Source organism: Homo sapiens, chromosome 18, assembly GCF_000001405.40.
Source record: "Homo sapiens chromosome 18, GRCh38.p14 Primary Assembly".
NCBI lineage: Eukaryota > Metazoa > Chordata > Mammalia > Primates > Hominidae > Homo > Homo sapiens.
The window spans coordinates 1,168,819-1,180,910 of record NC_000018.10 but is presented as its reverse complement, the minus strand read 5'-3'; the positions used below and the strand labels follow the sequence as shown (position 1 = coordinate 1,180,910).

Genomic DNA, 12,092 nt, shown 5'->3' with positions numbered 1-12,092 from the left:
AGTGGAACTATGAGTCAATTAAACTTCTTTTCTTTATAAATTACCCAGTCTTGGGTAGGTCTTTATTAGCAGCATGAGAACAGACTAATGCACATGAATTTATTTCTGAGCTCTTCATTATGTTCCATCAGCCTATATGTCTGTTTTCATGCCTGTAGTATAATTTTTCTACTGTATACTTATAACATATTTTGAAATTAGGAAGTGTTATGTGCCTCCAGGTTTGTTTTTCTTTCTCAAGACTGCTTTGGCTATTCATGGTCTTTTGTGGTTCTATGTGAATTTTAGGATTGTTTTTTCTGTTAATATAAAAAAATAGGCCCTGAGATTTTGATAGGGATTACACTGAATCTGTAGATCACTATAGGAAATATGGATATTTTAATAATATGCATTCTTCCAATCCATGAAAACAGGATGTCTTTCCGTTTATCTGTCTTCTTTAATTTCCTTCATCAATGTTTTATAATTTTCAGTGTAAAAGTGTCACTTTTTTGGTTAAGCTTATGTGTAACTATTTGATTCCTTTTGTTGCTAGTTATAAGTAGTATTGAATTCTTAATTTAGCTTATGGATAGTTTATTGTTTGTGTATAGAAATGCCACTGATTTTTGTGTGATGATTTTGTATCCTGCAACTTACTAAATTCATTTAATAGTTCTAATATTTTTTGGTCGAGTCTTTAGGGTTTTCTCTATATATATTATTATGTCATCTTCAAATAGAGATAATTTTACTTCTTCCTTTCCAATTTGGATGACTTTTATTTCTTTTTTGCCTAATTGTGGCTAGGACTTCTGGTATTATGTTAAATAGAAGTGGCAAGAGTGGGCTTCCTTGCTTTTTTACTGAGCTTAGAGGAACAGTGTTCAACTTTTCACTATTGAGCATAATGTTAGCTGAGGGCTTTTCATATATAGCCTTCATTATATTGAGGTTCTTTTCTTCTGTTCCTAGTTTGTTGAGAGTTTTCATCATAAAAATTTGTAGAATTTTATCAAATTCTCTTTTATGTCTTTTGAGATGATCATATGGCTTTTATTCATCTTTCATTCTTTTAATGTGATGTATCACATTTGTTAATTTGCATATGTTGAATCATCCTTGCATCCTGGGGATAAATCCCCCTTGGTCATGGTGAATGATTCTTTTAATGTGCTGTTGAATTTGGTTTGCTAATATTTTGCTGATGATTTCTGCATCTATATTCATTAGAGATATTGACATGTAGTTTTCTTTTGTCGTGGTGGCTTTGTCTAGTTTTTTTATCAGGGTAATTCTGGCCTCATAAAATAAGTTTGGAAGTGTTTCTTTCTCATCAATTTTTTGGAAGAGTTTGAGAAAAATTGGTATGAATTCTTCAAGTGTTGCATACAATTCATCAGTGAGGTGTTTGGTCCTGAGCTTTTCTTTGTTGGAAGATTTCTGGTTACTGATTAAATATCCATACTAGTTAAAGGCCTGTTCAGACTTTTTATTTCTTCATGATTCAGTCTTGGTAGGATGTATGTTTCCAAGAATTTATCCATTTCTTCTAGGTTTCCCAGGTTTCTGGTGTATAATTGTTAATAGTAATCTCTTATAATCCTTTGCATTTCTGTGGTATCAGTTGTAATGTATTCTCTCTGTTTTCTGATTTTATGTGAGTCTTCTCTCTTTTTTCTTGGTTACTCTAGCTTAATATTTTCAATTTTATCTTCTCAAAAGCCAACTCTTAGTTTCATTGATTTTCTATTGTTTTTCTCTTCTTCATTTTATTTATTCTGCTATAATCTTTATTATTTCCTTTAGTCTGCTTTGGATTTAGTTGCTCTTATTTTTCAATTTCCTTGAGATATACAATGGGGTTTTTTATTTGAGACCTTTCTTCTTTTTTAACATAGGCATTTGTCACTGTAAACTTCCTTCTTAGTACTTCTTTTGCTGCATTCAGAAAATTTTGTTAAGTTCTATTTATATTTTTATTTGTTTCCAGATATGTTTTGTTTGGATTTCTTTTTTGACCCATTGGTTGTTCAAAAATGTATATTTAATTTCCACATACTTGCAACGTTTTCGGTTTTCCTATTGTTATTTATTTCTAGTTTTATTACATTTTGGTTGAAGGGGTACTTGGTATTATTTCAATATTATTAACTTTGTTAAAACTTGTTTTGTGACTTAACATGATCGATCTTGAAAAATGTCCTGTATGTGCTTGAGAAGAATGACAATTCTTTTGCTGTTGAATGGAATGTTTTGTAGAGATTTGTTAAGTCCTTTTGATGTATAGAGTTGTTTGTGTCCACTGCTTCTTTGTTAGTTTACTATCTGGTTGTTTTTCTATCAATTATTGAAAATGGAGTGCTAAAATCTCCTACTATTATTGCAGCACTATTTTCCCTTCAGTATTATCAATGCTTGTTTTATATATTTAAGTCTTCTCTTGTTGGATGCATATATATTTATAATTGTTATATCTTCCAAGTGAATTGGTCCTTTTATCATTGGATTATATACTTCTTGTTTCTTGTGACAATTTTGACTATTTTATCAGATATAAGTAAAGCCACATCTACCCTCTTTGGGTTACTATTTTCATGAAATATATTTTATCATACATTTTTTTAGCCTGTGTCCTTTAATATAAACTGAGTTTCCTGTAGACAGCATATAGTTGGATCTTTAAAAAAAATCCTTCAGCCACTCTGTATCTTGATTGGGAACTTGAATATTTATACATTTTAAGGAAGTATTGATCAGGAAAGATTTACTATGGCCTTTTTGTTCATTGCTGTCTGCCTTGTAGTTATTTTGTCTATCTTTTTCTCTCTTACTGTCTTTGTGTTTCATTTATTTTTAAAACTGATAAGCTTTGCTTTCTTTCTCTTTTTCTTTTGTGTTACTTCCATAGGTATTTTCTTTATGGTTGACATGGGGCTTACATAAAATTTCTTATAACTGTCTAATTTAAACTGTGAACAACTTACGTTCAATTGCTTATTAAAACTATACCTACACTTATCCCTCACATTTTATCTCACTGGTGCCACAATTTGTATCTCTTTATATTGTCTCTTTTAATATTTTTAGGCTATAGTTACTTTTAATACTTCTGTGTTTTAACTTTTATAGTAGAATTAAAAGTGATTTACCATTATTACAATAATACAGCATTCTGTATTTGTCTGTATATTTACCTTGACAAATGTGTTTTATATTTTCTTATGCCATTGTGTTGTTGTATTGCATCCTTTCATTTTAACTTGAAGAACTCACTTTAGCATTTATTGCAAGGCTGGTCTAATGATGATGAACTCCCTTAACTTTGTTTGTTTAGCAGAGTCTTTGTCTCTCCATTTTTGACAGACAGCTTTGCCAGGTAGAGTATTCTTGGTTGAGAATTTTGGGGTTTTTTTCTTCATCAGTTTGACTATTTCATCCCACTGTCTGCTGGCCTGCAAGGTTTCTGCTAAGAAATCCACTGATAGTCTCAACAGAGTTCCCTTGTATGTGACAAATTGCTTCTCCATTGTTGCTTTCAAAATTCTCTTTTGACCTTGATTTTTGACAACTTGATGTCTTTTTGTGTGTGTTCTTTTTTAAATTCATCTTATATGGGTTTCTTTGGGCTTCCTGAATCTGGATGCTCATTTTCTTCTCCAGATTTGAGGTTTCTGCCAGTATTTCCTGTGGTGGCCTGTAGTCCCAACTACTCAGGAGACTGATGCAGGAGAATTGCTTGAACCTGGGAGGCGGAGGTTGCAGTGAACCAAGAGCCACTGCACTCCGGCCTGGCAACAAGGCAAGACTCTGTTTCAAAAAAAAAACAAAAAAAAAAAACACACAACCATTTCTCCATCAGTCAGGAAGGACGTTGGAGTTGAGGTTGACATACCTATCAAGGACAGCAACTACCATGGCTTCCCATGCTTTGACAAAACCTCGGATGCATGGCCTTCTGGCCGAGCATCTGCAATTTCATATTGTTGGAGTATTCATGGTATCCCTGGAGCTTGCAGTTTTCTGTAAGTTTGCTGTGGCTGAACCAAGAAAGAAGGTGTACACAGATTTTTACAGAAATTATGATTCCATGAAAGACTTTGAGGAGATGAGGAAGGCTGGTATTTTTTGGAGTGTGAAATGATCTTGAAATATAAAGAATTTCTTCAGGCTGAATTACCTAGAAGTTTGTCACTGGCTTGTGTTCCTGAACTATGAACACGAATATGCGGGCTAAGAAATAGTTTCTCTCGATAAATAAACAATTAACAAATTTTTTAAAAGCCACAGTAATAAAAGACACTATGGTATATGCACAGGAATAAACATGTAGATCAATGGAACAGATTAGAGTGTCTAGAAATAAACACACATTTATGATCAATTCATTTGACAAAGATGCCAAGGTACTTTAATGGAGAATGGACAGTCTTCAACAAATTGGATATTCATATACAAAAATTAAGATTTGACTCTTAAATCATGCTGTGCACAAAAATTAACTTTAAGTGAATCATAGACTTAAATGTAAGAACAGAAACTATAGAATTTGTATAAGAAAACTTAGGAGAAAAATATTTCTGAACTGGGGTTAAGCAAATATTTCTTAGTTATACCACCAAAAGCAAAATCAATAAAAGAAAACATTGATAATTGAACTTCATCAAAATTGAAAAATTTTGCTGTTCAAAAGAGTTGCAAGATGAAAAGCTATGGACTGATAAAAAAATTTCAATATATATAACTGACGAAGGACTTGTATCCAGAATTTACAGTGAATTCTTATAATTCAGTAATAAGATGACAAACATCCCAATTTGTTTAAATGGGCAACATAGTTGGATAGAAACTTCAGCAATGAAGATACACTAAGGGCAAAAGAAAGTACATTAAAAATACTCAATATTGTTACTCTTTAAGGAACTACAAACTATAACGAGCTAAACTCGGTTAGAATGGCTAACATCAAAACAGCTGACATAACTGTTGGTGATTTTGGGGACACAAACCTTCATGCATTATTGGTAGAAGGGAAAATGGTACAGCCATTTTGAAAAACAGTTATAGCAGCTTATTAAAAATGAAATCGATGCTTGACATAAAACTTAGCAAGTCTGCCTTTAGATATCTACCCAAGAGAGAGAAAAACATGTTCAAATACATGAACACACTTGTTTATAACATCATTATACATAATAGCCAAAAAGTAGAAATAATCTCAACATCTATCACCTAGAATGTGGTGTATTTATATAATAAACTGTATTTCGGGACCTGGGTCAATTTGCACAACCAGAAACCATTGATAGAAGGAGAATCTGAGTTTTTAGGAGGAAAAATTCTGCAACACCATGGCAACCGTCTACAGTAATGATTTTCTCAATACTTTCATTTAAACAAAAATAAACCCTATACCCATTTACTTGGGTAACTGTAAAATGGGAATACAGAATACTAGGGACAGAGAATACTAAGTTATTTCAAGGACTTTTGTGGGGTCCTCAAGTGTATCATGGCCCCACTATTCAAGTGAGACTTATGGATAGCAGATAATAATGAAGATGTGGCTTTGATTCAGAATATTTTAATAAATAAATGAAGATGCAGCTTTGACTCAGAATATTTTCACTGGGTCTACAACCCACCTATTGGTCATCCTACCAGGGAAGTAAATCTATGTGGCACAGAGATGAACTGTAGTGAAGGTTGTGGTCACCTCCTCAGGACAGAGGCACTTATTCCATCAAATGCATAGAAGATTGGCTGCTGATAGCCCACATTTGAGTCACTTTCTTAGAATTTCCATGGATCTGCCTTGTCTGATGTCCAGCCCTCTCCCCAAGGGGCAGCTTATATCCAGTCACTAGTCAATGTGTGGTTACAGAGGGGCTCCTGATATCAAATCAACACCAGTTGGAAGGTCCATCCAAGATCTAAATTTCCATGTGGAACTGAACAATGTATGCCTCTGTTGTAACTCACCATGCTTCAACTTTTCCCTTGGAACATTCCTGCTTTCCTCCCTCTCTTACAGACATTGTTCCAGAGGATAAACCATTAAACTTCCTGTATGCAAATCTCCAATTCAGAGTCTATTTTACAAAAAATTTGATGAAAGATAGTAGATATGTAAATATATTATACATCCATGGAAATACACAAATTTAGCCGGACACAGTGGTGTGCACCTATATAGTTCCAGCAACTTGGAAGGCTGAGGTGGGAGGACTGCTTGAGCCCAGGAGTTCAAGTCCATCTTGGGAAATATAGCAAGACTCCATCTCTGCAAAAAATTTTTAATTAGTGAGGCATGGTGGCAGATGCCCATAGCCCCAGCTACTTAGGAGGCTGAGATGGAAGGATAACTTGAGCCCAGGAGTATGTTTTTAATCCTATAAATATGAAATACACAGAATTTACCAATGCCTGTCTTGGTAATGGGATTTTGGATAATTTTAATTTTTTGCATTTTTTAAATTTTATTTTTTAGAGATGGCATTCTTGCTATGTTGCCCAGGCTGGTCTCAAACTCTTGGCCTCAAGAAATCCTCCCACCTTAGCCTCCAAAGGGCTTGGATTACAGGCATGAGCTTCAGTGCCCAGCCTTAATTTTATATTTTATGTTGTTCTACTTTTACGAGATTTTCTACAATGGTCATATATTATTGCCATAATCAAAATAAAACAATAACTTCTAAAAGTAAGAAAAAAACTTAAAAGAAGAAAGAGTACTGTCTTTGAAGCCAATAACATTTAGCTTCAGATTCTGGCTGTGTAGGTTTTGTCAAGTCATTCGGCAGTTGTTCTTCTGTAACTCAGTTTCATCTTCTGTAAAATGTTAATAGTCATTATTACACAGCTTAGATTTGTTTTGAGGAGCATAATAAATATAAAACACTCACACAAACTGTAATGAACTACAGAGATGTTGTTTCTGATTTTATTATGTCTTGGAACTGTTTTCTACTATTATCTCTCGGAACTGTTTTCTTATTTTCATACGTTGGTACCTAATGTGAGTAGTGCTGCTTAAATGACCACAAGGATCACCATATACATTTATTTACCTTTTAAGTAAACATTAGTGCTGGGCTGGTTCTCTTAGTCAGAATGTACTGTGACTAAGGGTACATCCTTTAGATGGTAAAAGAAGTCAATATCTTGTTTGAGTTCTGCAACAATCCCGTGTACATAATTACATATGGGTCTCAAAGCCAGAACACTCAATGCCTCCAAAATAAGTCATTCCCAAGGCATTTCTCGAGCTGCTGGGACATAATAAGTGAATGAGTTATGAAGAATTCTTTTTGTCCTCAACTTCCTGAAGATCTAGTAAGGTTAGGATATTTTGGATCTTACTTAGAGGAGCCTTTACATTTGCTCTAGGCAGCAGCACAAGTACATGTATATGCAGTTAATAAACTACTGTCTCTAATGATGGAAAGTATCTGTTCACAACTGTTGAAAAAGATCATTCACAATCGATATCTGTGATAATTACGTTAGAGTCAACCCTGTTCTGTGGCAAAATTGCTTAACACAAGCCTTCTGTAGTGAGTGATAAAAGAAGGCAGAGCATATTCTAGTAACAGACTTGACGGAGACTAAAGCTGTTGGGTCCCATTTTTACATGCAATGGGGATTTATGTTAACAGAGAACCACAATAAATTGAGGAGAAGCATGCCCTTGCACAAAGATATGTGTTAAGCAAGTGTGCAGTGTCCCAAATTCTGGATCCTGGGAATTACTATTTGGGAAAATTTCACATAGAGAATGCTTAGTAAGAGTTTGTAGACACAAGAAAAAGGTACCGTTTCGTTGGCGGAGTTTTCTTCATAGGGAATCTTCTAGAATGAAAAAAGCAGATATCCCCCTTCCAGCCCAAATTGGCAAACTCTCAAGGGCAAGATGGAAAGAGACAATCTCTGTGGGTATTTAGTATGGAGATACTCCATCAGCATAGGGCCACCATATTTCCTGACAGCAGGAACTATTTATTCCACATAACTTTGTCATTTTCTGTGGCATCTGGTCTATTTTTTTTTCTCTACATAGTGTATTAGGGAAGAGGCTAAAAGGAGTAAGCAATAACTTATTGCAGTCAGTGTAGTGTAAATGGCCAAGTCAAATGAAAGATATAGATTCCACATTCATAAGAACACAAAAATCGGGTCCAGAAGGAGAGATTTTCACTTTCTGAGACCTTGTTGGCGGTCTCCTTTTCTTAAAAATAAAACTTATAAATTTTTATTTTTTACAGTTTTATTGAAGTGTAATTTACATATAAACTACACATATATAAAGTGTGCAGTTTAACAAGTTTTGACATATAAACGCCCATGAAACATAATGACCACACATACACTTCCCCGAATTTCTCATGACACTTTCTAATTCCTTCCTCTCTTTTGTTTCCTGCCCTGTACTCAGATTTCACTGCTCTGCTTTCTGTCACTATAGATTAGTTGGCATTAACTAGAAGTTTATCTGAACTATAAACTTGTTGATGAACATTTGGGCTGTTTAATGAACTTAAACCTCATTTTTTCTGTACTTTTTTCTTTAGAAAGAAAATAAAACATTAAAAGAAGCACTATGGTGAACTTATGTCTAACCAGCACAAGAAGTGAATAGGTAAGTGGCAGTTGGAGGAACTGTGGGAGAAAGTGGACTTATCGTCACTGAGTTTGTTATAACCGAGTCAAACAGGTATCCAGACTTAATGAAGCACATTTCAAAAAGGTTATGTATCAAGTATATTATTGAGGGGATTTATATTTTTGAGGTGAGGTTGGATAGAGTTATTTATAAATTCTAGATTCTTTGATTTGGTGACTCAATACGGATTATTATCTGCTTCTTGGAGGTTACCTACGGGTTAACATACCTTTGATTAGTAGCACATATAAATGCTGAATATCTTTATCTTAAGAAAATTAAATTGTAATTATTACATATATTCAATATAATAAATATAACATATATATCAAGTATGAAGTGAAGGGATCCTTGAATTGTGACAGCTTCTATTTTACTCTGCTTCTGTGACCCTGGACATTTCCCTCAACTCTTGATGCCTGATTCCTCCTTATTACCTGAGGAAAACAGTCTAGATCCTTAATACTTGCCCAAATAGTTTTACAGGAGCCATGTGAAAACACTTTGAGATATATGCAGTGATATATAAAGTCCTTCATACAAAACAATCCAATTACTTCCTTGTCTTGCCCAATATTTTATTTGGACTTCCTACTGCTCAGTAATAAATGACAGAGAGCATCAGAAGCTATACTGGAATGTTGTTTAAAGGAAATATAGTTTTCATATATATTTTTAAATAATTATTTTTAAGTACAATACTGTGCTATAGTGATCCCACTATTCATGAGTTAAATAACATGTGAAATTAGAGATTCTTAGGATATTCTTAATGGTCTCTGAGCTTATTCCATAGCACAGCTTTGCACCTGTCATGCACTTGGTTACCACACAGGCCTAAGGAAATGCATTGTAGCGTCAGCCCTTAGAAGGCCAAGTGGCACACAGGAGTTCGTATTGATCAACTAATTGCATTGGCTACTGGGCTGGTCCGCATGTTCCAAGCCTTGGTCTAACTGACCCATGAGGAAGAACATACTTTGTTTTCTCTGGCTAATTTTCATCTTGTTATAAATCACTGCTACTGTGTAAGGAAAAAATAGGCTTTTAAAATTTAGCCCTGCCTGTGTCATTTTCTTTACTAATCTTCTTTGTGTTTGAGAGATATATAGAATGTTATTGGGATAAGGAAGGGAACTAGAGACAGATGGGCTGTCAGGCTAGGTACATAAAAATGTACAGAGAGGACTGACTGGCAATATCTTCTAGCGCAAGCCATGTTCTTGAGTAAATTATTTAGAATTTACATATGAATGATCTCCTTGTGGTCAGTTTTCCATCTGTGATCTGACAGCTTGTAGATGCACATTTAGTATGTTTTTAAAATCCTATCATTTTACATTTGACACATGTCCATGTCAAATGAAAGCATAGATCTCCCCATTCTTTAACATCCTCTAAATTCTCCTTACTAATGGATAACTAGAGAATTTGTTTATTGCATCTGCTTTGTAAGAGGGGTGATGCCTGTTACTCAAAGTCACTCAAAAGAGTAATTTAGCATTTCTTGATGGTTATAATTGTAGTATACGTTCTGCATGTCTGTTTGTCTCTCTATATATCTCTATATTATCTTCAAGCTTTGACACAATAACCCTTCTTACATGAAGGGTATATGATTTATGCTTGCAATATAATGTAAACAAGCATTTTTAAATTGTGTAGACAGGATGGTTCGTTTTATATTTGGTTCATTTCAATATAATAGTCCACACTCTGAATGTTTTTGGATTTGGAGTAATCGTGAACTTGGAATTCTTTGGGAAATAAGAAAAATACAAGACTCTGAGTTTAACATTCTCCAAGATAATGTACTTGGTAGAGTTATTTTATTGTTATGTTTAATCCATGTCTTTTGACTGACCTAATAATAGAGGAGACAAATCTTCTAAAATTTCGATTATGCCTTTGAAGTTTCCAATTTTTACATTAATTTCATCACCGATCTATCATTTTCTCTCTTATTATTACAAAACTGTGTTCACATTAAATTCACTTTTTTTTTTAATTTGTGATGGAGTCTCACTCTGTACCTTCACCTCCCAAGTTCAAGCGATTCTCCTGCCTCAGCCACCGGAGTAGCTGGGATTATAGGTACACATCACCATGCCCAGCTAATTTTTGTATTTTTAATAGAGACAGAGTTGCATCATATTGGCCAGACTGGTCTTGAAATCCTGACCTCAAGTGATGCACGCGCCTTAGCCTCCCAAAGTGCTGGGATTACAGACGTAAGCCACTGAGCCTGGCTCACATTAAAGTCACTTTTAATGAAAAAGTATCTCACAATTTTGATAATTAAACACAGTTTTTAAAATATTCCTTTTTAATCTTTTTTAATGAATAAAGATTATATGGTTGTAATTTTTATTCTTTTTAAGATTCCTATAATTAAGTAGTCTTAATGTTTCCACAATTGTTATTGTCAATAACTACATAGTATTCTGTTAGATATTGTATTATGACTTACTTGACTATTCCCTACCATCCTATCTTTTATAGATTTTTAGTATTTTTGATAATGATGTAATAAATACCTTTGTCCGGGTAGCTGTTCTTTCTCTATTGAATTAACTACTTATGAATATTTTATGACTTTCAAAAATTATCTTATTGCAGCCAGAAACAGCCAGTGACACAATTTTATAGTTCTGTAATTGTATATAAATATATTTGTTTCACCATATCATCAAAATTATGTGTCAATACTTTAAAACATTTTTTATTTTAATAGATACAAAATTATATCTTAATGATGCTTTAATTTTTATTCCTTTGATTATATCAAACCAAGACCAAATATTTTTCAAAAATGTTGGAACTTTTTGTATTTTATCAAGTGTGAATTGTTTCTTGGATCTTGAATGTTTGGGGGACAGTTACATAACCTCTTTATTTTATACAGGTGCATATACCTTGTTTTTGTACTTAAGCATTTTCTCAAACTGATTTTTCGTAAATATTTATTCTTTATTTTTAAAAATTGTATAAATATTTTGATAGTCAAATATGTCAGTCTTCTCTTTGTGATTTTGTCATTGTAAAAGAATTTTTTATTTTAGAAATGAACTGTGCAGTTGATTGCAGAGAATAAATTTAGGTAATAATATTTGTTTATGCGGTTACAATTGTTTATTAGGATGGCAGTCATCAGTCAATTGGCAGTTTTAGAAACAGAATAAAATCTTATGCTGTCAGCATGTATAGGCTATTTAAAGGTTGAAGTTCCTTGGTGTGGGTATCTGCTTTGTTCCCGGTTAGAAGCTGTAGGAACAGACTAATTTATTTAAACAAAAGACAAGTTACTGGACTGATATCAGGGACTCAATGAATGAAGGGAAGGTGGAGGTCCAGGATTAGAAAATACGTAGGAAGACGTGAACTTTGGAGGTTTGAGCAGTGGCTCCACCACTGAGACCTACCATGACCACAGGCTGGTCTACTGCTGCTG

The 12,092-nt window shown here is 33.8% G+C and overlaps 1 long non-coding RNA gene and 1 pseudogene across 2 annotated transcripts in view; one reads left to right on the top strand and one right to left on the bottom strand.

Moving 5' to 3' along the window:
- LOC105371953 (uncharacterized) overlaps positions 1–12,092 on the bottom strand; it is a 155,413-nt gene that overhangs the window by 73,507 nt on the left and 69,814 nt on the right. Inside the window, exon 5 of one of the 2 annotated variants that reach the window (XR_007066436.1) lies at positions 4,367–6,265. The exons of the other annotated variant lie outside the window; for it this stretch is intronic. This is a non-coding gene — a long non-coding RNA (uncharacterized LOC105371953). Of the gene's footprint in view, positions 1–4,366; positions 6,266–12,092 lie in introns of those variants that run through there. 2 annotated transcript variants of the gene reach the window in all.
- On the top strand, positions 3,839–4,261 carry COX6CP3 (cytochrome c oxidase subunit 6C pseudogene 3; annotated as a pseudogene).